Genomic DNA, 26,476 nt, shown 5'->3' with positions numbered 1-26,476 from the left:
CAGGCATGAACCACTGGGCCCAGGCTATTTTAAAACAATTCTGTAAAAAATGGTAAATATGGTAAAAAGCTAATGAATGAGCAACTCAAAAAAGCATGTATAGAAAAATATATTTAATTTTACAAAAGGAGGGATGCTCTTTACTGGGAAGAGTACAACAGGGAGCTTTCTGGGGGTGTTGAAAAATCACTTTATATATTCATCTCAATGATGGGTACATGAGTGTTACATATATATATAAAATTTTATTAATCTCTGGCTAAACTATATAGTTTATATCACAATTTAAAAAAAACAACAAGATGTGTGTATGAAAGTGATACTGGGAGATGCTGGGTGATTCAGAGTCACTGCATATTTGGGTCACGTCAACATGTTACTTCCAAAGGTCTGGAGCCTCTAAAACATGATTCCTAAAGAACATTTCAATGGTCTTATTATCCAAACTTACCCTTTGTGATCTACCTTCCTTTAAATTCCATCTGGCACATACTAACTCACCCAGATGACTCTGGCTTGGAAATTTTTCCTCTAATATCCATGGCTCCTCGCCTTTCTCCAACTTGAGAATCACTTCTGGTTTAGGAATGCAATACCCTGTGAATGAGAATTGTATTACTTGGGACAAACTGGGTGGGTTTTCCTGAAGGAGGAAGACAGTATACCCCAAACAGTACACACACACACACACACACACACACACACACACACACACACACACACACTTCATTTAATCCTGTCATGGGGGCAGAGGAAAACATTCTTTCTGGTATCCAAAAGGGATAAATTGTCCTTGACCTCTGAATCTCAAACCTAAATATTATTATATTTTACAAAAGTTCCACAAGTTTCTATTGATAAGAAAGGACATGCATTCTGGCCTTCTACATGGGAAACAATTCCTACCTACCTACTGAGACAAGGTGGCTGTAGTTCTCCAGCATCACATCCCTGTACAGGGTCCTCTGAGCAGGGTCCAGATGCTGCCACTCCTCTTGAGTGAAGCCCACAGTCACATCCCTAAACGACACTGATCCCTGGAAAATCACAATTTTGCTCAGTCTGAAGTGATAAGAATCAGTTGACGTGAAAAAAGATGTTTAGGGACTAATTCTTACCATTTTTATTGTTGAAAATTAAATAGAAACTGTTATAAAGGGCCCCTATGATATATGTTGTTTTATGTTACATATTGTGAGTAAAAAATCATAGTAGAAATATCCTGTTGGTGCATTAATTTATTACTTAATGCAAAAATATTTAGTGCCTACATGTGCCTAGAGCTTTCTTAGTTTCTGAGTATTCCAATTTGAACACAGGAGTCTTCCTTACAAGAGAGGAACATATCTTCTCATAAGGAAACATACATACAGAGACATACCTACCACAGGACTTAAAGGACTCACACCACAGCTATGTGTAACACAGATGGATCATAAAAGTGTTCTGTGCAAAATCATGTGAGATTTCACTAAAGTGATAAAACTTTAGTTCCTTTGCAAACATATAAGAAAAACTTAACAAAAGGTTAAAAACCTGAAAAAATATGTGGCAAGTCAGTGGAACTGCTTAACAGGATAAGAGCATGTCTTACCTGTGATGAGGTAAAGGTTGCAGAGGCATGGAAGATGAGGGAGACTAGGAAATACTTTTGGCTTTAATCCTGTTAGTGTTCTCCAAATATTTATCACTCATCTAATCCATAAAAATTTTTAGCAACTACTAGTTTTATTTATATTTATTTATAAAGTAAATAAAATACAACCAATCCACATATAAGGAAAGCTTAATTTTGTTCTTATTTTTTAGATAAAAATATAAATAGGCATGCTGATATTTTCCTCCCATGCCCTAAAGGACTGGCAGTATATGACATAAACACAATTATCTTGCATACTTCCTTTAGGCCATAGGCTCCCTGCTCCACCCATCCCAGGTCATTGATGCGAATAGCAGAAGTTGATGGTGAACTGGAAATACACACCTGAATCTCTGTAACATAATTCAGTTTTCACTGAGGAAGCAATGCCACCAAAGTAGAGTTGAGACTGCTGGAGAGCAGCATTAGAGGTAGATTGTCTATACCAAGGGGCAGCAGTGGAGATGTGGAAGAGGGAATTCACTAAGCAAAGGAAGAGAGGAAGGGCTACTTCCAGAGGGCCTGCATAGAGGCCTTAGAACGTCTGGAAATTAGAACCAGGAGGGTGGGTGTTGCAGGAGGGGAGAGTGCAGAGTGACAATAAGACACATGCAGGCCATGCTGCTCTTGGAATGTCTTCATGTCATGGAAGTGAGCATATCCAGTGGAAGGCTACAGAGATGATTCTGAAGCTTGGAAGAGATCTAAGGTTTGGAGTTCAAGACCAGCCTGGCCAACATGGTAAAACCCCATCTTTACTAAAAAGACAAAGAATAGCCATGCCTGACTGTGGACGCCTGTAATCCCAGCTACTTGGGAGGCTGAGGGAGGAGAATTGCTTGCACCCAGGAGGCAGAGATTGCAGTGAGCCAAGACTGTGCCACCACACTCCAGCCTGGGTGACAGAGTGAGACTCCATCTCAAAAAAAAAAAAAAAAAAAAAAAAATCACAGACTAAAAAAAGAGCATTCCAAAATTAAATGTTAATATTTGCCTAACTATGAAAACAAAACAAATACTCTCTGAACACTACTAGAAAACAAAATGGGCCAGGTGCGGTGGCTCATGCCTGTAATCCCAGCACTTTGGTAGGCCAAGGCAGGAGGATCACAAGGTCAGGAGTTCAAGACCAGCATGGCTAACATGGTGAAACCCTGTCTCTACTAAAAATACAAAAATTAGCCAGACATGGTGGCAGGCACCTGTAATCCCAGCTACTCGGGAGGCTGAGACAGGAGAATCACTTGAACCTGGGAGGCGGAGTGTGCAGTGAGCCAAGATCACACCACTGTACTGCAGCCTGGGCAAAAAGAGTGAAACTCTGTGAAAGAAAAGAAAAGAAGACAAGACAAGACAAGAAAAGAAAAGAAAAGAAAAGAAAAGAAAAGAAAAGAAAAGAAAAGAAAAGAAAAGAAAAGAAAATGGATGTAAAATACAGAATTGTACAAATCTAAATATATAAAATTGCACAAATTATAACAAAATAAAAACTGGAAAAATAGATAATAAAAGAATAGCTTGTAAAATATAGATAAATCCAGGAGATAAATACCATTCTAAAATGAATTCCGAAAGAAAAAAAAAAAAGCTAAGGAGAGACTTTTTTGGAGGGAAATGAGGGCAATCAAGAGCACTGTGTACATTATAGCCCGTTTATGTCTGAGGTTGCACAAATTTTTTTTAATTTTTGCAATCAGACCTTGAAATGACCCTGAGCAGTAGGATATAAATAACTCCCACATGCTTAGCATTCCACTAATGGAACACTAGGCATACATGGGTTAGGGAATTCAGAAAGCCAAGCACATACCTAGGACAGGAGAAGCTTGGCAAAGACCTCAAAAGACCCGAAGGTTTTACTTCTGGCTAATCTCTGTGCTCAGTGCAAGCAAGCAGTGAAGACTAAGATGAAGTTCTAAATGGACCAGGCTAAGTGCTTAAAAAGTGCCCCAGGACAGAGCCAATTTGCAAATAATAGGAAAGGGGTTTTGTTGGGTTTTTTTTTAGTTTTTTTTTTTTTGGTGGTTGTTGTTTGAATCCTGGCCTTCCAGGAAAAATGCCTGTTAAAACAGTACCTGAACACAAGCTAAAGAGAGAGAATTCAGTGACCACACATGACTAGAAATTAAAATAGAGACTGCAAAAACCCGGGAGGCGGAGCTTGCAGTGGGCCGAGATCGCGCCACTGCACTCTAGCCTGGGTGGCAAAGTGAGACTCCGTCTCAAAAAAAAAAAAAAGATCATCAGCAGAAACCTTGGAGGTTAGAAGGCACTGGACTGATATATTCAAAGTGCTGAAAGAAAAAGCTGTAGCTGAGAATTCTACGCCTGGCAAACATGCCTGTCAATAATGAGGACATTCCCAGATGAACACCAGCTAAGGGAGTATGTTTTTACTAGATCTACTCTGCAAGGAATGCTAAAGGGAATCCTTTGGGTTGAAATGTGATTCAAAACAAACAAGGGAACTGCTATAAGATTATACGCCAAGTTTTCATCTGGATTTGGTCTTAAAAGAGAAATTAGGATTAAATAAATAAGAAAAATGGGAGACTGGCAGAGTGGATAAATTTCTTCAAATAATGCATACAAAAATGTAATTAGAATGAATAAGATTGAGTATTTGACAGTAAAACAGGGTGACCACAGTCAACAGTTTTTTTTTTTTATTATTATACTTTAAGTTCTGGGGTACATGTGCAGAACATGTAGGTTTGTTACATAGGTACACATGTGCCATGGTGGTTTGCTGCACCCATCAACCCATCATCTACATAAGGTATTTCTCCTAATGCTATCTCTCCCCTAGCCCCCAACCCCCTGACAGGCCCTGGTATGAGATGTTCCCCTCCTGTGTTCATGTGTTCTCATTGTCCAACTCCCACTTATGAGTGAGAACATGCAGTGTTTGGTTTTCTGTTCTTGTGTTAGTTTGCTGAGAATGATGGTTTCCAGCTTCATCCATGTCCCTGCAAAGGACATGAACTCATCCTTTTTTATGGCTGCATAGCATTCCATGGTGTATATGTGCCACATTTTCTTTATCCAGTCTATTACTGATGGGCATTTGGGTTGGTTCCAAGTCTTTGCTATTGTGAACAGTGCCACAAAAAAACGTATGTATGCATGTGTCCTTATAGTAGAATGATTTATAATCCTTTGGGTATATACCCAGTAATGGGATTCCTGGGTCAAATGGTATTTCTGGTTCTAGATCCTTCAGGAATCGCCACACTGTCTTCCACAATGGTTGAACTAATTTACACTCCCACCAACAGTATAAAATCATTCCTATTTCTCTATATCCTCTCCAGCATCTGTTGTTTCCTGACTTTTTAATGATTGCTATTCTAACTGGCATGAGATAGTATCTCATTGTGGTTTTGATTTGCATTTCTCTAATGACCAGTGATGATGAGCTTTTTTTCATATGTTTGTTGGCCGCATAAATGTCTTCTTTTGAGAAGTGTCTGTTCATTTCCTTCACCCACTTTTTGATGGGGTTGTTTTTTTCTTGTAAATTTGTTTAAGTTCTTTGTAGATTCTGGATATTAGCCCTATGTCAGATGGATAGATTGCAAAAATTTTCTCCCATTCTGTAGATTGCCTGTTCACTCTGATGATAGTTTCTTTTGCTGTGCAGAAGCTCTTTAGTTTAATTAGATCCCATTTGTCAATTTTGGCATTTGTTGCCATTGTTTTTGGTGTTTTAGTCATGAAGTTTTGCCCATGCCTATGTACTGAATGATATTGCCTAGGTTTTCCTCTAGGGTTTTTATGGTTTTAGGTCTTAGGTTTAAGTCTTTAATCCATCTTGAGCTAATTTTTGTATAAGGTGTAAGGAAGGGGTCCAGTTCCAGTTTTCTTTATATGGCTAGCCAGTTTTCCCAACACCATTTATTAAGTAGGGACTCCTTTCCCCATTGCTTTTTTCAGGTTTGTCTAAGATCAGATGGTTGTAGACGTGTGGTACTCCTGAGGCCTCTGTTCTGTTCCATTGATCTATATATCTGTTTTGGTACCAGTACCATGCTGTTTTGGTTACTGTAGCCTTGCAGTATAGTTTGAAGTCAGGTAGTGTGATGCCTCCAGCTTTGTTCTTTTGGCTTAGAATTATCTTGGCTATCCAGGCTCTTTTTTGGTTCCATATAAAATTTAAAGTAGTTTTTTTCTAATTCTGTGAAGAATGTTAATGGTAACTTGATGGGGATAGCTTGAATCTATAAATTACTTTGGGCAATATGCCCATTTTCACAATACTGATTCTTCCTATCCATAAGCATGGAATGCTTTTCCATTTGTTTGTGTCCTCTCTTACTTCCTTGAGCAGTGGTTTGCAGTTCTTCTTGAAGAGGTCCTTCGCATCCCGTGTAACTTGTATTCCTAGGTATTTTATTCTGTTTGTAGAAATTGTGAATGGGAATTAACTCATGATTTGGCTCTCTGTTTTTCTATTATTGGTGTATAGGACTGGTGGTCATTTTTGCACGTTGATTTTGTATCCTGAGGCTTTCCTGAAGTTGCTTATCAGCTTTAGGAGATTTTGGGCTGAGATGATGGGGTTTTCTAAATATAGAATCATGTCATCTGCAAACAGAGACAAATTTGACTTCCTCTTTTCCTATCTGAATACCCTTTATTTCTTTCTCTTGCCTGAATGCCTTGGCCAGAACTTCCAATACTATGTTGAATAGGAGTCGTGAGAGAGGGCATCCTTGTCTTGTGCTGGTTTTCAACGGGAATGCTCCCAGTTTTTGCCCATTCAGTATTATATTGGCTGTGGGTTTGTCATAAATAGCTCTTATTATTATTTTGAGATATGTTCCATCAATACCTAGTTTTTTGAGAGTTTTAAGCATGAAGGGGTGTTGAATTTTCTCGAAGGCCTTTTCTGCACCTACTGAGATAATCATGTAGTTTTTGTCATTGATTCTGTTTATGTGATGAAAGGAGTACATTTATTAATTTGCCTATGATGCACCAGCCTTGCATCCCAGGGATGAAGCTGACTTGAGCATGGTGGATAAGCTTTTTGAAGCGCTGCTGGATTCGGTTTGCCAGTATTGTATTGAGGATTTTTGTGTCAATGTTCATCAGGGATATTGGCCTGGAATTTTCTTTTTTTGTTGTGTCCCTGCAATGTTTCGGTATCAGGATGATGCTGGCCTCATAAAATGGGTTAGAGAGGATTCCCTCTTTTTCTGTTGCTTGGAATACTTTAAGAGGGAATGGTATCAGCTCCTCTTTGTACCTCTGGTAGTATTCGGCTGTGAATCTGTCTGGTCCTAGACATTTTTGGTTGGTAGGCTATTATTTACTGCCTCAATTTCAGAACTTGTTATTTGTCTATTCAGGGATTTGACTTCTTCCTGCTTTAGACTTGAGAGGGTGTAAGTGTCCAGGAATTTATCCATTTCTTCTAGATTTTCTAGATTATTTGCATAGAGGTGTTTATAGTATTCTCTGATGGTAGTTTGTATTTCTGTGGGATCAGTGGTGATATCCCCTTTATCATTTTTTATTGCATCTATTTTATTCTTCTCTCTTTTCTTCTTTATTCTTCTGGCTATTCTATTTTGTTGATCTTTTCAAAAAACCAGCTCCTGGATTCATTGATTTTTTGAAGGGTTTTTCGTATCTCTATCTCCGTCAGTTCTGCTCTTAGTTATTTCTTGCCTTCTGCTAGCTTTTGAATGTATTTGCTCTTGCTTCTCTAGTTCTTTTGTGATGTTAGGGTGTCTATTTTAGATCTTTCCTACTTTCTGTTGTGGGCATTTAGTGCTACAAACTTCCCTCTAGACACTGCTTTAAATGTGTCCCAGAGATTCTGGTATGTTGTGTCTTTGTTCTCATTGGTTTCAAATAACTTTTTATTTCTGCCTTAATTTCATTATTTACCCAGTAGCCATTCAGGAGCAGGTTGTTCAGTTTTCATGTAATTGTGCAGTTTTGAGTGAGTTTCTTAATCCTGGTTTCTAATTTGATTGCACTGTGGCCCGAGAGACTGTTATGATTTCCGTTCTTTTGCATTTGCTGAGGAGTGTTTTACTTCCAATTATGTGGTCAATTTTAGAATAAATGTGATGTGGTGCTGAGAAGAATCTATATTCTGTTAATTTGGGTGGGGAGAGTTCTGTAGATGTCTATTAGGTCTGCTTGGTCCAGAGCTGAGTTAAAGTTCTGAATATCCTTGTTAATTTTCTGTCTTGATGATCTGTCTAATACTGACAGTGGGTTGTTAAAGTCTCCCACTATTATTGTGTAGGAGTCTAAGTGTCTTTGTAGGTCTCTAAAAACTTGCTTTATGAATCTGGGTGCTCCTGTATTGGGTGCATATATATTTAGGGTCGTTAGCTCTTCTTGTTGCATTGATCCCTTTACCACTATGTAATGCCCTTCTTTGTCTCTTTTGATCTTCGTTGGTTTAGTCTGTTTTATCAGTGACTAAGATTGTAACACCTGCTTCTTTTGCTTTCCAATTGCTTGGTAAATATTCCTCCATCCCTTTATTTTGAGCCTATGTGTGTCTTTGCACATGAGATGGGTCTCCTGAATACAGCACACTGATGGATGTTGACTTTTTATCCAATTTGCCAGTCTGTGTATTTTAACTGGGGCATTTAGCCCATTTACATTTAAGGTTAATATTGTTATGTGTGAATCTGATCCTGTCGTTATGATGCTAGCTGGTTATTTTGCCCATTAGTTGATGCAGTTTTTTCATAGTATCGATGGTCTTTACAATTTGGTATGTTGTTGCAGTGGCTGGTACCGGTTGTTCCTTTCCATGTTTAGTGCTTCCTTCAGGAACTCTTGTAAGGCAGGCCTGGTGGTGACAAAAATCTCTCAGCATTTGCTTGTCTGTAAAGGATTTTATTTCTCCTTCACTTATGAAGCTTAGTTTGGCTGGATATGAAATTCTGGGTTGAAAATTCTTTTCTTTAAGAATGCTGAATATTGGCCCCCACTCTCTTATGGCTTGTAGGGTTTCTGTAGAGAGTTCTGCTGTTGGTCTGATGGACTTCCCTTTGTGGGTGACCTGACCTTTCTCTCTGGCTGCCCTTAAAATGTTTTCCTTCATTTCAACCTTGCTGAATCTGATGATTATGTGTCTTGGGTTGCTCTTCTTTACGAGTATCTTTGTGGTGTTATCTGTATTTCCTGAATTTGAATGTTGGCCTCTCTTGCTAGGCTGGTTAAGTTCTCCTGGATAATATCCTGAAGGTGTTTTCCAGCTTGGTTCCATTGTCCCCGTCACTTTCAGGTACACCAATCAAACACAGATTTGGTCTTTTCACATAGTCCCGTATTTCTTGGAGGCTTTGTTCGTTCCTTTTCATTCTTTTTTCTCTAATCTTGTTTTCTCACTTTATTTCATTAATTTGATCTTCAATCTCTTATGTCCTTTCTTCCACTTGATTGATTCAGCTATTGATACTTATGTATGCTTCACGAAGTTCTTGTGCTGTGTTTTTCAGCTCCATCAGGTGATTTATGTTCTTCTCTAACCTGGTTATTCTAGTTAGCAATTTGTCTATCCTTTTATCAAGATTCTTAGCTTCCCTGCATTGGATAGAACATGCTCCTTTAACTTGGAGGAGTTAGTTATTATTACCCACCTTCTGAAGCCTACTTCTGACAATTTGTCAAACTCATTCTCTGTCCAGTTTTGTTCCCTTGCAGGCAAGGAGTTGTGTGGAGGAGTGTGTTGGAGGAGAAGAGGTGTACTGGTTTTTGGAATTTTCAGCCTTTTGTGCTGGTTTCTCCCCATCTTCGTGGATTTATTTACCTTTGGTGTTTGATGTTGGTGACCTTCAGATGGGGTTTCTGAATGGATGTCCTTTTTGTTGATGTTGATGTTATTCCTTTCTCTTTGTTAGTTTTCCTTCTAATAGTCAGGCCCCTCTGCTGCAGGTCTGCTGGAGTTTGCTGGAGGTCCACTCCAGACCCTGTTTGCCTCGGTATCACCAGTGGAGGCTGCCAAACAGCAAAGACTGCTGCCTGTTCCTCCACATAATAAAGCACATATACAAAAAACTCATAGGTAACATACTCCACAGTGAAAGACTGAAAGATCCCCCCCTAAGATCATGAACAGGCAATGATAGTGCTTTCACACCACTGCAATTCAACACTGTATTAAAAGTTCTAGCCAGAGCAAATAGGCAAGAAAAAAAAAATAAAAGACATTCAAATTGAAAGGCAGAAGTAAAACTACTCTATTTGCAGATAACATTATTTAGCATATAATCCACAAAACATCTATGAGCTAACAAATAGTTTTGGCATAGTTGCAGAGTACAAAATCAACACACAACAATTAGGTTTTTTTAAAAAAAATACTCCAACAATGAACAATCCAAAAGGAAATTCAGAAAATAATTCCATTTATGGTAGTATTCAGTAAAATAAAATACTTAGTGCTATGGTCTGAATGTATGTCCCCTTCACAACTTCATATGTTGAAATCTAATACCATTGCAATAGTATGAAGCGGCATGGCCTTTAGGAGGTGATTAGGAAGCTCTGCCTTCATGAATGGGATAAGTGTCCTTATAATTTAATGGACAAAGTAGTGGCTTGACAACCTATAGAGACAGGTTTAGATACTGTGCTGCTAATAATCAGAAATTTTATTTTTGATAAGCTTACATAAAGTAATGATGTTTTTCCAAAAATAAGAAGACTTAGTCAAATGGCCCCTTTTAACTTCTAAAATGTTTTAATACATCAAATCTGATTTGAATATTTAATATAGCAACTATGGATAATTCCAGGAATGGTGATCTAAGGGATCAAACCAGAGCTGAGGAGACAGGTAGCACTGGCAGGTAAGAGATTAGATACAGGCTGGGCACGGTGGCTCACATCTGTAATCCCAACACTTTGTTAGGCCAAGGTGGGCAGATCACCTGAGGTCGGGAGTTCGAGACCAGCCTGACCAACATGGAGAAACCCTGTCTCTACTAAAAATACAAAATTAGCCAGGCATGGTGGCACATGTCTGTAATCCCAGCTACTTGGGAGGCTGAGGTAGGAGAATCACTTGAACCCAGAAGGCGGAGGTTGCGGTGAGCTGAGATCATGCCATTGCATTCCAGCCTGGGCACCAAGAGCAAAACTCCATCTCAAAAAAAAAAAAAAAGAAAAAATATTGGATGCAAACAGGGAGAAGGAGCAAATAAATATTGTGGATAATGGTATAGCCTGGTTTCTCACTGTTGAAGAAAGAAGTTACAAAGATGGAAAACAGAAAGGCTATGGGGTTAAGATTGAAACTGGGAAATGTCTACGTAAACTCATTGTTTAAAAAATATGTATAGACAGACCAATACAAAAATAGGTGTACACATGTGTATTTCTGTGTGTGTGTGTGTATGTATACATACACACATGTATTTCCTAACTGTCAATTGAGAGGGATTGAGGCAGTGACAACCTTTAGCAATAAGCACCCAGATCTTGGTTTTTAAATTCCATCCTCCACTAGAAAGAACAATGTCCTTTGGAGAAATGGCTAATGGTAGAGGTACTGCAGGAAAAGGACAAGATGGGCCAGGCACATCTGTTGTTCCACAGAGTAATTACTCAAAAACTGATGTGGGGGGTAGGCTGAAAATGGAAAAGGTAACTCCAAAACTCCATCCCAAACTAAAGCAACAATTAAGCTGGGGAAGAAAAAAAAAACAAAAAACACCTCTCAGCATCAAGCTTTTCAGAATTCTCCAATCTAATTAAAAACCTAGTACACCCAGAACATTCCTGGTATGACTTGCTGATGCCTGTGCCAACGTGGACAGTATGCACCTTGTTTTCAGAGAACTGTAGTTGTGTATTTTGATCTGTCTATGCGGGCTCTCTGAAGAAGTGGCTCACAGGCTTGTCTTTGTTTTGCCTTCCTTGAAACTTTCTCAGGGCTAGTCTTCCAGGAAGTGCTTGTTGAAAGCATTTAAAGGCAATTATCTGGCCACAGTAGCCAGATGAGAAAAGCAGCAGATGGACTGAAAAACTGGGAATGTAAAAACTGGGAAGGAAACACATGGGGCCAGGGGTGGGGATAAGGGGTTTGAAAAGCTCCTGCATAAAGCAGGGAATTGAGATCATGTGTAAGTCCAAGACAATATGCATGCTCAGAAAAAACCTGAGAGGAACCTAAGCTTTCACATCTGGTTGACCTTCACGCTCTGTGTAAGCAGGAAGTAAAGGTTAATGCAGAGATGTAAATGGCCTGGCAAGCCATTACAGGAGCGCCCTAAAACAGGGCCAATATGCACAGACCAGAAGAGTTTTTTGTTTTGTTTTGGCTCTAGGCATTTAAAGAAATCTCTGTCAAATCACAGACGACCACTAAACTAATAGAACAGAGGTTTCAGTGACCATGTACAACAAAGAACACTGACTTTACAAAAATAGTTTATAAAAGTCACAAAATAAGCAAATAATACAAAATAAACAGCAACAACAAATTCTGAGGAAAAGAATCTGATTTCTAGAATTAGCACATTTTAATATTCAAAATGTTCAGTTTTCAATAAAAAATTATGAGGCATGCAAAGAAGATAATATGACCCACAGACACACAGAAAAAAGAAATAAAACCTGTACTCAAAGACACCTTTGATACTGGTCTTACTAGATAAAGAATTTAAATCATCTGTTCTAAATGTGCTCAAAGAGCTAAATGAAAGCAGACAAAGAACTAACAGAAACCAGGAGAATGATGCTGTGCCAAATATAAAATATTAATGTAGAGTAGAAAATTATAAAAATGTAATTAGGACTGTCTGGAGCTGACAAGTACAACAACTAAAATTTTTTAAAATCAGTGAAAATCAGTGACAGATTGGAGCTCAAAGAGAACAAAGAATCAGCAAAATTGAAGACACTGATGGGGATTACTCATTCTGTGGAGCAGAGAAAAAGAATGGTGAAAAATAGACAGTGCCTAAGAGATCCAAGAGACAACATCAAACATACCCACAAGTTAATAACAAGAGTTACTAACGAAGAGGAGAAAAGGGAACCAAAAAATATCTGAAGAAACAATGTCTGAAGACCTTCCAAATTGATGAAAGACATGAATCTCTATGTCCAAGACTCTAAAGAAACTATAATTATGATAACATCAAAGAACTTCAAACTGAGAGAAATAATAAATTGTCAGAAGACAAAGAGTCTTGAAAGTAGCAAGAGACAAGGGACTAACCATGTACAAAGGATCTGAAATAAGATTAACAGCCAGTCTTTCATTAGAAACCATGAAGGCCAGAGGCAGTAAGATAATGGCACCTTTAAAGTACCAAAAGAAAAAAAAATAACAAAAATTCTACATTAGGCAAAACTACCTTTCAAAAAGGAAGGGGAAATTAAAACATTCCTAGATCAACAGAATCTGAGAGAATGTGTTAGTACTAGACCTGTCCTACAAGAAATGCAAAAGGAAGTCCCTCAGGTTGAAACAAAAGGATACTAGACAGTAACTCCAATCCAAACAAACAAAAAATTCAAATGATAAAACTAACTACTGTAAGTAAATGCAAAAGCCAGTCTTATTGTATTCTTGGCTTTTATGTTCTCTCTTTTTTTTATGTGATTTAAAAGACAGATACATAAAACAATAATTATGCATCTATGTAATGTGCACACAATTTATGAAGGCCTAATATGTGACAATAAGAAGACAAAAGACAGGGACAAAGCTGTATAGGAGCAGAGTTTTTATATAATATTAAGGCTTAGTTGGTATTAATGCAAGCTAGATTGTTATAAATTCAAGATGTTAATTGCAATTCCAAGTATTAACACTAGGTAAATAATGAATACAAAGAAATACAAAAGGAATTAAAATGGCACGTTAGAAAAAAACACAAAAGAAGGCATACACAGAAAAACTGAAAACAAGATGTAATACATATGGAAAATAAATAGCAAAATGGCATAAGTCCTTTTTCAGTTTATCATTTACTTTAAATGTAAATAAACTAAACTCCCAACTAAAAGACAGAAATTGGCAAAATAGGCTGGGCATGGTGGCTCAAACCTGTAATCCCAGCACTTTGGGAGGCCAAGGCGGGCAGATCACGAGGTCAGGAGTTTGAGACCAGCCTGGCCAATACCGTGAAACCCCGTCTCTACTAAAAGAAAAAATATATATATACAAAAATTAGCCAGGTGTCATGGTGTGCACCAGTAATCCCAGCTCCTCGGGAGGCTGAGGCAGAAGAATTGTTTGAACCCTGGAGGCGGAGGTTGCAGAGAGTCAAGATCACACCACTGCACTCCAGCCTGGGTGACACAGTGAGACTCTGTCTCAAAAAAAAAAAAAAAAAGAAAAATAAAAGGAAAAAGAAATTGGCAAAATAAATACAAATATATGATCCAACTATATATAGTCTATAAGACACTCTCGTTAGATACAAACACACAACACAATAGGCTGAAATTGAAATGACAGAAGAGGATAGTAACCTAAAGAATGCCAGGGTGGCTATACTGAGACAAAAGAGACTTTAAGTCAAAAATTGTTACAAGAGCAAAACATTACATATTGATTAAAAAAAAAAAAGGTCAGTCTACAAAGGAGACATAGTAACAGAAATAGAAATAAATCATCCTGAAGTTAACATGGAATTTCAAGGTATCTCAACTAGCCAAAATGATCTTGAAAACCCATGCATGTATGGTAAAATGATTTTCAACAAAGTTGTCAAGAACAGTCAATAAGGAAAGGACAATTTTTCTAACAGATAGTGTTGGAAAAACTGGATAGCCACATGAAAAACAAAACTAAAAAAAAAAAAAAATTAACTCAAAATGAATCAAACACCTAAATCTAAGAATTAAAATTAAAGTTACAAAACTCATGACAGAACACATTGGAGAATGGATTCTTGACATTATATGTGGCAATGTTTTCTTGGATATAATACCAAAAACCACAGGCAACAGTAGTAAAAATAAATTGGACTATATCAAACTTAAAAATTTTGCATCAAAGGGCATGGTTAACTGAATGAAAAGGCAACCAACACAACAGGAGGAAATATTTGCAATTCATGTATCTGATAAGGAATTAATATAAAAAATAACCCCTACAACTCAAAACAAACAAAATAACCTGATTCAAAGATGGACAAAGGACTTGAACAGACATTTTGTTGCAGGAAGTCAGGGACCCCAAACAGAGGGACCGGCTGCAGCCAAGGCAGAAGAACGTAGATTGTGAAGATTTCACGGACATTTATTAGTTCCCCAAATTAATACTTTTATAATTTCTTATGCCTGTCTTTACTGCAATCTCTAAACATAAATTGTGAAGATTTCAGGGACACTTACCACTTCCCCAATCAATACCCTTGTGATTTCCTATGCCTGTCTTTAATCTTTTAATCCTGTCAGCTGAGGAAGATGTATGTCACCTGAGGACCATGTGATAATTGCATTAACTGCACAAATTGTAGAGCTTGTGTGTTTGCACAAATACGAAATCTGGGCACCTTGAAAAAAGAACAGGATAACAGCAATTGTTCAGGGAATAAGAAAGATAACCTTAAACTCTGACTGCCAGTGAGCCAAGCGGAACAGAGCCATATTTCTCTTCTTTCAAAAGCAAATGGGAGAAATATCGCTGAATTTTCTCAGCAAGGAACATCCCTGGGAAACAGAATACAAGCCTGGGGGAATAGGCCTATAGACAGCCCCCCTGGGTGTGGCCGTCTCCTATGGTCTGTAGGCTGTAGGGGTGAAATAGACCCCAGTCTCCCATAGTTCTCCCAGGCTTATTAGGAAGAGGAAATTCCCACCTAATAAATTTTGGTCAGACCGGTTGCTCTCAAAACCCTGTCTCCTGATAAGATGTTATCAATGACAATGGTGCCCAAAACTTCATTAGCAATGTTAATTTCGCACCGGTCCTGCGGTCCTGTGATCTCACGCTGCCTCCACTTGCCTTGTGATATTCTATTACCTTGTAAAGTACTTGATGTCTGTGACCCACACCTATTCGCATACTCCCTCCCCTTTTGAAACTCCCTAATAAAAACTTGCTGGTTTTATGGCTTGTGGGGCATCACGGAACCTACCGACATGTGATGTCTCCCCCAGAAGCCCAGCTTTACAATTTCTCTCTTTTATACTCTGTCCCTTTATTTCTCAAACTGGCCGATGCTTAGGGAAAATAGAAAAGAACCTACGTGACTATCGGAGCAGGTTCCCCAATACATTTCACCATAAAAGATATATAAATGGTCAACAAGCTTATGAAAATATGCTCAACATCACTAATCATTAGGGAAATACAAATCAAAACCACGATGAAAAATTACCATACACCCATTACAATGGCTGCTATCAAAACAACAAAAGAAAATAACGAGTGTTGGCAAGGATATGGAGAAATCAGAATCCTGCACAACTGAGGATGGGACTGTAAAAATGGTGTACCTTCTGTAGAAAACAGGTTGGTGTTTCCTCAAGAAATTAAAAATAGAATTACCATAGATTCCAGCCATACCACTTTTGAGTATATAACCAAAAGAACTGAAAGAAGGATCTCAAAGAGATAGTTGTACACCCACGTTCACAGTAACATTATTCACAACAGTTAAAAGGAGGAAGGAACCCAAATGTCCACTGACAGATGAATTAATAAAACATGGGTACAATGAAATATCATTCAACATTAAAAAGGAGATAAATTCTGACACATGCTACAACACTGAGGAAGCTTGAGGACATTATGCTAGGTGAAATAAGACTGTTACAATAAGACAAATACTGTATGATTTCACTTAAATGAGATATAGCAAAAGTAGTGAAACTCATAGAACAGAAAGTAGGATGGTGGTTGCCAGGGGCAAGGAGGAAGGGAAAATGGGGAGTTACTGTTTAATAGGTACAGAATTTCAATTTTCCAAGATGAAAAAGTTCTGGAGATTATATGTACGATATGAATACACATACATAACACTGCTTCTGAATTGTACATCCCAAAATGGTTAAGATTGCTAAAACAAAAAACTAACAATAAATAAAGATTCCTGCTTTGGCCACATATATTCAACATTGTACTAAAAATTCCAGCCACAGCAATTAGGCTAAATAAATACACACACCCAAATTGGAAAGAAATAAAAATATTTTCGTTTGCAGATGACATGATCTTATATGCAAAAAATACTGAAGTATCCACAAAGGAACTACTACAAGTAGGAAACAAATTCAGCAAAATTACAGGATACAAGATCAACACTCAAAAATTAGTTGTGCACAGTCAAAAAGCAAATTAACAATTCCACTTATAATAGCATTTAAACAAAAAAATTTTAGGCTTATGGGCCATTACAGTCTCTACTGCAACCAGTCAATTCTGCCCTCGTAGTGTGAAAGTACCCACAGACTATACATAAATACATGAGTATGGCTGAGTCTCAATAAAACTTTATAGACACTGAAGTCTGAATTTCATATAATTTACAATAGCATTTAAATGAAAAACTAATAAATTTAAGCAAGGATATGCAACACTTGTACACTGAAAACTACAAAACATTAATGAAGGAAAGAAGACCTAGGGGAAAAAAATCTTACATTCATGGATTATAAGATTTAATATTAAGATGATAACACTCCCCAAAGTGTTATTACCCACTCCAATACTTACCCAATGCAATACTTATCAAAAACTCAACATACTTTTTTGCAGAAATAGAAAAGCTAACTAAAAATTCCTATGGATTGCAAAGCACCCTGCTGTGGAAAACTGTCAGTTTCACAATAAATTAAACGTAAACTTACCATATGACCCAGCAATTTCACTCGTAGGTATATACCCAGAACAACTGAGAGCATGTATTCTAACAAATATTTGTACATGAATGCTCATAGGAGCACTATTCACGATAGCGAAACACAGGATGACCCCCAATGTCCATCAACAGATGAATGGATAAACAAAAGTTGGTATATCCATATAATAGAATATTGTTCAGTCATAAAAAGGGACAAAGTACTGATATACAACTACAACATAAATGGGTCTTGAAAACATTATTCTAAGTGAGAGATCAGACACAAAAGGCTACAAATTGTATGATTCCATTTGTATGCCATATCTAAAACAGGCATATCTATAAAGACAGGAGATTATTGGTTGCTAGGGGCTGGAGCAGAGGGGAAAAAGGGAGCAACTGCTTATTAAGTTACAACACTGCTTATTAAGGGTACTATGTTTCCTTTTGGTGTGATGAAAATATTCCAGAAATAAATGGTGGTTATGGTGGTACAACATTGTGAACGTACTAAAGTCATTGAATTCTATACTTTAAAATGGCTTAATTGTGAATTTCATGTGATGTGTATTTTACCATAATTTTTTTTTTAGGTAGAATCTCTTGAAAGTTATTGCAAATATTCCAGTTCTGCCCAGTCTCTAGGGCTGTCACAAAGCCTGCCACATCCTAACAACCCATGATCACCCTAGCCTACCAGGACTGTTTCTTTAAACAACCATAAGTCCTAATGCTACACAATTCATGTGATTTTTTTTTTTTTTTTTTTTTTTTTTTTTTTGAGACAGAGTCTCACTCTGTCACCCAGGCTGGAGTGCAGTGGTGCAATCTCAATCTCGGCTCACTGCACCCTCCGCCTCCTGGGTTCAAGCGATTCTCCTGCCTCAGCCTCCTGACTAGCTGGGATTACAGGTGCACGCCAACATGCCAAGCTAATTTTTGTATTTTTAGTAGAGACGGGGTTTCACCATGTTGGTCAGGCTGGTCTCGGACTCCTGACCTCATGATCCACCCACCTCGCCCTCCCAAAGTGTTGGGATTATAGGCATGAGCCACCTAGCCCGGCCTATTTGAATTTTTTAATCACATACTTTCTCTTGATATCGCTTAAGTTTTCCCCTGGACTGCACATGAATTATTCACTTCGTTGTACTACTTTTTCATGTAACTGCAAGATTGTCATCAGAAGTTTCACAGTGTCACCTAATAAAGCCCATTGACAAACTGTTTTATGTTCCAGTTTCACAACTCTGTGAGATCACAAGATCTGCATTCACTTACATGACATTTTTGTTTTACTCTTCATCAACTCTTTATCAGAAATCAGCAAACATTTTCTGTAAAGGGTCTCACAGTAAATATTTTAGGCTTGTGGGCCATTACAGTCTCTGCTGCAACCAGTCAACTCTGCCCTCATAGTATGAAAGTACCAACAGACAACACATAAATACATGAGTATAGCTGAGTCCCAATAAAACTTTATATATAATGAAATCTGAATTTCATATAATTCTTGTTTTTTTTCCCTCAGCCACCTAAAAATATAAAAACCATCCTTCGTTTGTGGACCATAAAAAAACATGCGGCAGGCTGCATTTGACCCATGAAATGTAATGTGACCTCTCCTCTATATTTTCCCTGATGTTATTTCTACTTTCATATGAATGTATAGACATTTTTTAAACCTCAATAATTACTTTTAAGCAAAACGGTGAAAAAATAAACAACTTACCTGGGATGTGATCATCTTCCACTGGTGTTGGAAGAGCAGAGCAAACTGTGAGGGTGTAGCTGAGAAATAAGAAAAGATCATGAGTGATGTCACTTGCCTTAAAAGGTCCACTTCGCAGCCGGCAAAACATCTCTGAAAGGGAGATACTCACACGCCCATGCATGACTCTGGCATGATTATGTACTGCTTGGACTCATTAGTTTTCAAATGTAAAAACGTTTGTTTTCTACTGACTTAAAAACAATTTATGCTGTACTCTAACAGAGTATGCAAACCGATATATTAAACTAATTAAGCAAGTTAGGAAAAGCCAAAGAGTGGAACATAATACTTTCATTAAAACTGATGCTAAACAAAAATACTCAGGTTTTAATCTTTATTACAAACCAGAGAATCCCAACAAGGTTTTGAAAAAAGCGATGTGGTATTTTTCAGCCCAGTTTTTTTTGTTTGTTTGTTTGCTTTTTTGAGACAGAGTCCTGCCCTGTTTGTTGCCCAGGCTGGAGTGCGATGGCATGATCTCGACTCACCGCAACCTCCTGCCTCAGCCTCCCAAGTCGCTGGGACTACAGGTGCGCACCACCACACCCGGCTAATTTTTTGCATTTTTAGTAGAGACGGGGTTTCACCATGTTGGCCAGGCTGGTCTCGAACTCCTGACCTCTTGATCCACCCCCCTCAGCCTCCCAAAGTGCTGGGATTACTGGCGTGAACCACCGTGCCCAGCCCAGCCCAGTTTTTTTGGAAGGAAAACGAACTTGCTCTAACTTGATTTGAGGTTCTCAAAACAATCTTTGGATTTAAAAAAGCAAACTGATTTTTACTTACTCTGTTGTCAACGCAGCAAACACCCTCCTGAGTCCTCAAGCGACTCTGTCTGTTCTTGACTCTGCCACAACAAAATGTGTCAATGTCATCAGTAACTTAACACGTTAAGCTCGTTTCCTGTCCACCCCACCCCATCCCATCTTTTAAATAAAGCGTAAATAGATAACTTACAGACCTTTCTCGCGGCTGTACCTCTGATTCTGTAAGATCAAGATGGGGGCATCCGTACATCTCTAGTTGTGCTGCAGTGCGCCAGCAGCTCAGCATCTAGAACGAGCGAGTAACGAATCCAGGCATGGAGGGTGCTGTCCTCCACTTGGCTGCTAAGCTCTTCCCTCCGCATGATGCCTTCACAACTCCCCAAGAAGCGGTGCTGTCTGCTCCTTCGGCCTTGCCCTCTTCTGCCCCCACATCTGAATGGGCACAAAGCTCCCAGCCTGTGGGGGTCTGGAAAGGACACAAATCGAGCCTCTGCTCCTCCCACCCGTGCTCTAGATCTCTAGTGAGGTGTCAGCCCAACGGGTTGGGTGTCCTCCTAGGAGGGCCCCTGGGCCCTCGCCCCCCACCCTTCCCTTCTTACCCCACAACAGCTGCTTTGCTCCAAGACAGCTGGGCCTAAGCCCTTTGGTTCGAATCCTCATTCAAGACAGAAAGCTCCTACATCTTCCTGTCACTTGAGCCATGAGCTGGACCCTCTGAAAATGCCCACTGGTGCTAATGGGGACACAGGCGAGGCTGGACAGTGCCGGAGGGCCTGGGGTGCCTCCCTCCGCGTGCGCGGCCTCACAGGTCAGTGGAAACAAGAAATTCCCCAATCCACAGCCACGATGACTTCAAAATACTTCCCGAAGACATCAGGCAATGAAGCTGCGACCTGCGAGGACACAGCAAGCCGAGTGACGCTGGCCAGAGGCTGGGTGTGGAGTCCGCGCCTGCAGGGTCCCTCCCCGCCCCGCGGGCGCTTCCCCCCACCCCATTCGCCTCGGCATCGCAGTGACACCGCGGCGACGCCGACCACAGGTGGTTGTGAGGACAGCGAGATTCTGAGGGGAAAGAATGAGAGAAGCGCGCATCTATTGGGCAGAAGGCCCGTTTCTGCGCCGTCCTGCGGAGGCCTCCGGGCATCCTTCACCTCAGGGAAGAGAAAATCCAACCTCACTTGTCACAGGCGCGGGACTTGCGCATTCCCTTTGGGAGCACAAGAACCGAGGCAGGATTCGGACCCAGGCCAGGCGGCAAAGGCGTTCCCTCTCTCCCACCCCCAGGCCGCGCGGAACCCCCAGTCCACCCTCGCCCCTGCCCTCCCTTACTCACCCTCCGCGTCCTCTACCCGGACGCCAGGAGATGCCGGGAGCCCTCCCCGTCAGAGTGCCGGGGAGAAAAACAAACCTGGAGCCATATGGCAGACATGCCCAGAAGGCCCGAAGCGGCTCCCGCGACGGGGGCCGAAAAGTGCACACTACATCTCCCACAAGTCCTCGCGCCGCTCCCTTAGAAAGTGCACGCTTCATTTCCCACAAGCCCTCGCGCCGCTCCCTTAGAAAGTGCAGACTACATTTCCCACAAGCCCTCGCGCCACTCCTTTTGAAAGGGCATGAGGTTTCAGCCGCATTGGGCAGTTAGTTCCCAGATGCGGCAAGTGCAGTACTGCAGTTTTATTCGTTAGCTGAAATAAATTATGAGTATTTAAATTACACAGCTTTCTCATGAATTACATCCCCCTGATGATTTGGCCGTCCTCAACACTTCCTCATTTGGCAGAATTCACGAGTGGAATTTCTCCAGACGAGGTCGGTTCCTGTGGCCCCGCGACGCTGCCGCAGCACCACCTACACTTGCGCCAGTGTGGAGAGCTTCACTTGCTCCTTTCTGGTCCATTGGACGCTAACCGTGAGAAAACACGCTGGACATGAGCATTACCAGCCTGTAAGCTGTCGTAAAGATAACTCGGAATTGCTCTTCAAATTTTATTTGTTAAACCACGTAATACCATCTTGCATGGCAAACATGCATTTTCCATTCTTCAGGAGTATGCAGGATCTCTTGATCACGATAACTTTTTAAAGTTCACAGGCAGAGGTAATACAGGAGTGGAAAACCAAAAACCGTAGGTTCTCACTTATAAGTGGGAGCTAAGCTATGAGTACGCAGAGGCATACAGAGTGATATAATGGACTTTAGAGACTCAGAAGGGGCTGGTAGGAAGGAGGCCGGAGGTTAAAAAAACTACACATGGCCAGGCGCGGTGGCTCACGCCTGTAGTCTCAGCACTTTGGGAGGCGGAGGCGGGTGGATCACGAAGTCAGGAGTTCAAGACCAGCCTAGGTAACACGGTGAAACCCCGTCTCCACTAAAACTACAAAATTAGCTGGGCGTGGTGGCACACACCTGCAGTCCCAGCTATTTGGGAGGCTGAGGCAGGGGAATCCCTTGAACTCGAGAGGTGGAGGTTGTAGTGAGCTGAAATCGCGCCATTGCACTTCAGCTTGGGCAACAAGAGCAAAACTCCATCTCAAAAATGAAAAAAAAAAAACTATACATTAGGTACAGTGTACACTACTCAGGTGACAGGTGCACTAAAATCTCAGAATCCACCACTTTATAATTCATCCATAACCAAAAACCACTTGTACTCCAAAAGCTATTGAAGTTTAAGTTAAAATAAAAATAAAAAATAAATGTCCACTGACCAAAAAAGAAGCATTTTTCTCCATTTCTATTCCCTTCTTTACCACCACTGATGATAATCCCACTTGTTCCCATGCTGGAAAAGCATTTAGTACCATCCATGTAAAAGAATCAAATTATTCAAGGGTTGAGATGCATTTCAGAAGACAGTCATGGTAAGTACAACAATGATTATCACTTCGAGACACAATTTATTTTCCTGCTCATAATGTTTTTTTTTTTTTTTTTTTTTTTTGAGATGGAGTCTGGCTCTGTAACCCAGGCTGGAGTGCAGTGACATGATCTCGGCTCACCGCAACCTCCGCCTCCTGGGTTCAAGCGACTCTCCTGCCTCAGCGTCCCAAGTAGCTGGGACTACAGGCTTGTGCCACCACACCCGGCTAATTTTTGTAATTTTAGTAGAGATCGGGTTTCACTGTGTTGGCCAGGCTGGTCTCGAACTCCTGACCTCGTGATCCGCCCGCTTCGGCCTCCCAAAGTGCTGGGATTACAGGCATGAGCCACTGCACCCAGCCTAATGCTTTTGCATTTTAAGAAACAGTCTTGACACTTGTGAATATTCCATTATTTCTTTTTTTTTTTTTTTTTAGACTGGATCTCATTCTGTCACCTGGGCTGCAGTGCAGTGCCAAGACCTCGGGTCACTGCAACCTCCGCCTCCCAGATTCAAGTGATTCTCCTGCCTCAGCCTCCCCAGTAGCTGGGATTACAGGCACATGCCACCACGCCCAGCTAATTTTTCCTGTTTTTAGTAGAGACTAGGTTTCACCATATTGACCAGGCTGGTCTCAAACTCCTGACCTCAATTGATCCATCCGCCTCAGCCTGCCAAAGTGCTGAGATTACAGATGTGAGCCACCTCTCCTGCCCTCCATTATTTCTTTAATGCATTCAGGTTCCATTATGCCATGGATTATTTCAGTAACATTGTTTGCTCTTCTTTCAATTTGCATAATCCTATCCCTAAAGAGATTGAAAACTAGGGACATGCCACTCTTAGGCTCCTTGGGACTCGACACATCCTCCTGGGATCATCTCAGGAAGGGGACTGGCTGTGCAGGCACCATGGAGGTGGTGCTGATATTCCTATGCAGCCTGTTGGCCCTCATTGTCATGGCCAGTGCAGCTGAGTAGGAGAAGGAAATTGACCATTTTCATTATGACTAACAGACCCTGAGGATTCAGGGGTTGGTATGTGCTGTGGTCCTCTTCTCCGTTGGGATCTTCCTTATCCTAGGTTGCAGATGCAAGTGGAGTTTCAATCAGAAGCCCGGGACCCCAGGGGAGGAGGAAGCCCAGGTGGAGAACCTCATCACTGCAAATGCAGCAAAACTCCAGAAAGCAGAGAGCTGAATGAAGTGCAGCCCTCCAGTGGGAAGCCTCCGGAACCTGAAGGCAGCTGCTTGAACTTTTAGATGCAAATATTGATGCTTAAGAAAACAGCCACTTCAGCAACAAATCTTTCCAGAAGAGAAGCCAAGAACTTTTTTGTCCTGCCATGCCCTTCCCTGTCCCCTCTAACACCATTCCTCCACCTGATGATCCAACTAATCTCTTGCCTCACCACTGCAGCCTGCAGGCTCCTCCAACTCGTGTTATGTGTCTGTGTGTGTGTTTGCTGACTATAGTGTTCATGGCTACTTGTTCATGGTGATTATAGTTAGTGAACTGTGGACTCACTTTCCTGGGCAGGGGCTGAGCCATGTGGCCGTCTGCTCCTCTCTGCCCCCCATCACCTCTCACTCCTGGGAGTCTGCTTTTTTCCCTGGAGAGTCTAGCTCCTTCCCTTTAGAGCATGGGCAGGAGTCTCCAGCTGTCTTGGGACCTGGGAAGGTTTGCACCACTTTCCTCATCTTTCTTCATGGAGTCTCTTCACTTCTTTTACAAGAACCTCACTTCCTTATCCCACTCCAACCCGTCTGTTCTGAAGATCAGCAATTGGAGATACAAAGCAAAGCAAGGAGTTTGTGAGCCCGGCATTACCTTCAGGAGGCTACTATACCCTTCCATGGTTATTTTTCTCCCTGGGGAAGCCCCAGGGAGCCCCATCTGCCCTGCCTTTCACATAGCACCCAGGGATTCCAGGCCCAGGGCTGCTGCTTTTTTTCTTTTTCTTTATTCAGACAGAGTCCCACTGTGTCACCCAAGCCGGAATGCAGTGGCACGATCTCAGCTCATGGCAACATGGGTTCAAGGGATTCTCATGCCTGGGCCTCCCGAGTAGCTGGGACTATAGGCACGCACCACCATGCCCAGCTAATTTTTGTATTTTTAGTAGAGATGGGGTTTTCCCTGGCCTCAAGCAATCCACCTGCCTAGGCCTCCCAAAATTCTGGGATTACAGGTGTCAGCCACCGTGCCCAGCCTGGGCCCAGGACTAATAATCTACACTTGGGGAATGTAGCCCCTGCATATCTTATCAGCAATAACCACAGGGGCTCTGGTGCCCCACCCATCTCCAACCTTCCTGCTTCTGAGACTTCAATCTATAGCCCAGTTTTTCTGGACACAGGCTCCCATCCCTGAAGCTGAGTCTCCAGCAGGTGATGACTGAAGGATTCCCATTCTGTTGCGGCCAGCACACTGGAATGGACAGAGGGAGAGTAAGGGGCCTTTGCTTCTCTGCCCATGTCCCCTTGGTCAGCAGAGACAACTCCCGCATCCTCAGTGGTCACAGAGGTGAGTTAAGTAGGTTAGAGACCCAGTAGGCTCCATGCTGCACTGCTGCAGAGGGTACAGGAAGAGGTCAAAAGTCATAATGAGACTGGGAGCTCAAACCGGATCCCACCATTCCTGTCCTCCATGTGCCTGTGGAAATCAACCAAACCCAGCCTCTGTGGCTAGACTGCTGTTTTCTGTATCACGATCTGTCCTCTGAGCAACAGAAAAAAGGAATAAAATATTTGTTTCCTAGTGAAAAAAAAAAACTATGAATAAAAAACAAGTAAACTTCACTCAATGGAGTATTTTTAAAGTAAACAAAAATTTTGGAGTCTTTTCTTGAAAATTAAAATTATTATTTCAAGACTTTACGTAAACTAACAACTTTATCAACTGTGTTAGTTACAGGAGCCAATGAGTTTCTAACTGCAAAGGAAATGAAGAATATCGAATGCCAAAAAAAAAATCACACAATCCTTTAATCACTCAATTCTAATAGTGTAAATGCTGAAGTAAGAGAACAATTTTGTGATAATTACTTCAATGAAAATGCAAAGAACATCAGATGCTATTTTGACATCATGATGCAGAATGTGGGCAGGACGGTCCACAACTTGGAATCTTTACTTCAGCTTGGACCAAGCATGTCTGTGCCCTTATGCAAACATCAACCACAATTTGTATTTGTATCATTGCCACCAAAAGCAGTTCAGAAGCAAAGGGAAAATATCTTCTGCCTTGTGATTACTTGTATCCATGGCTCTGCTGAAAATAGGTGAGGCATTTAGATCATTGATCATCTCTGTGATCATAGTGAAGCTATTACTTTTGTTGTTGTAGTAGATTTCCTCTTGGCTCTTCAAAATTTGATTGCATCTTTGGAATCAGAAAATACTTCTAGCAGTAATACTTTCAGTAATACTTTCAAACTGTCATTTGAGCTGAAAGACTGCTGCTGTTATATAGTGTGGCAGATGTTTACAACTTCCATTGCCATTACTATATCTCAATCTGAATTCTCTTTTTTTTTTTTTTTTGAGACAGTCTCACTCTGTCACCCAGGCTGGAGTACAGTGGCACAATCTCAGCTCACTGCAACCTCCACCTCCCAGGTTCAAGCAATTCTCTTGCCTCAGCCTC

The 26,476-nt window shown here is 40.7% G+C and overlaps 1 protein-coding gene and 1 pseudogene across 27 annotated transcripts in view, besides 1 other annotated feature; one reads left to right on the top strand and one right to left on the bottom strand.

Annotated features, from left to right (window-relative positions):
- The window catches only part of ZNF37A (zinc finger protein 37A), a 55,957-nt gene extending 34,502 nt beyond the window's left edge, over positions 1-21,455 (bottom strand). For 2 of the 27 annotated variants that reach the window (NM_001324257.2, NM_001007094.4), the window contains exons 1-7: positions 21,302-21,455; positions 20,568-20,861; positions 20,159-20,434; positions 19,988-20,048; positions 19,160-19,218; positions 911-1,037; positions 502-597 (exon numbers count right to left, since the gene is read on the bottom strand). In NM_001324257.2, the coding sequence (NP_001311186.1) occupies positions 502-597; positions 911-1,037; positions 19,160-19,174 (238 nt within the window). In that variant the 5' untranslated portion in view covers positions 19,175-19,218; positions 19,988-20,048; positions 20,159-20,434; positions 20,568-20,861; positions 21,302-21,455. Of the gene's footprint in view, positions 1-98; positions 598-910; positions 1,038-19,159; positions 19,219-19,987; positions 20,049-20,158; positions 20,435-20,567; positions 20,862-21,301 lie in introns of those variants that run through there. The other 25 variants (NM_001324256.2, NM_001324250.3, NM_001324246.3 and 22 more) reach the window with 22 other exon arrangements.
- Positions 21,312-21,501: an enhancer, noted in NCBI's record as "active region_3274". NCBI's record gives its function as "activates an Ori minimal core promoter by ATAC-STARR-seq in GM12878 lymphoblastoid cells {active_cell/tissue: GM12878}" and the evidence as "EXISTENCE:reporter gene assay evidence [ECO:0000049][PMID:35858748]".
- FXYD6P2 (FXYD domain containing ion transport regulator 6 pseudogene 2) lies at positions 23,665-24,226 on the top strand (annotated as a pseudogene).

The sequence above is a fragment of the Homo sapiens genome, chromosome 10, assembly GCF_000001405.40.
Source record: "Homo sapiens chromosome 10, GRCh38.p14 Primary Assembly".
NCBI lineage: Eukaryota > Metazoa > Chordata > Mammalia > Primates > Hominidae > Homo > Homo sapiens.
The sequence above is the reverse complement of the archived record's forward strand: the minus strand, read 5'-3'. Positions and strand labels throughout refer to the sequence as shown.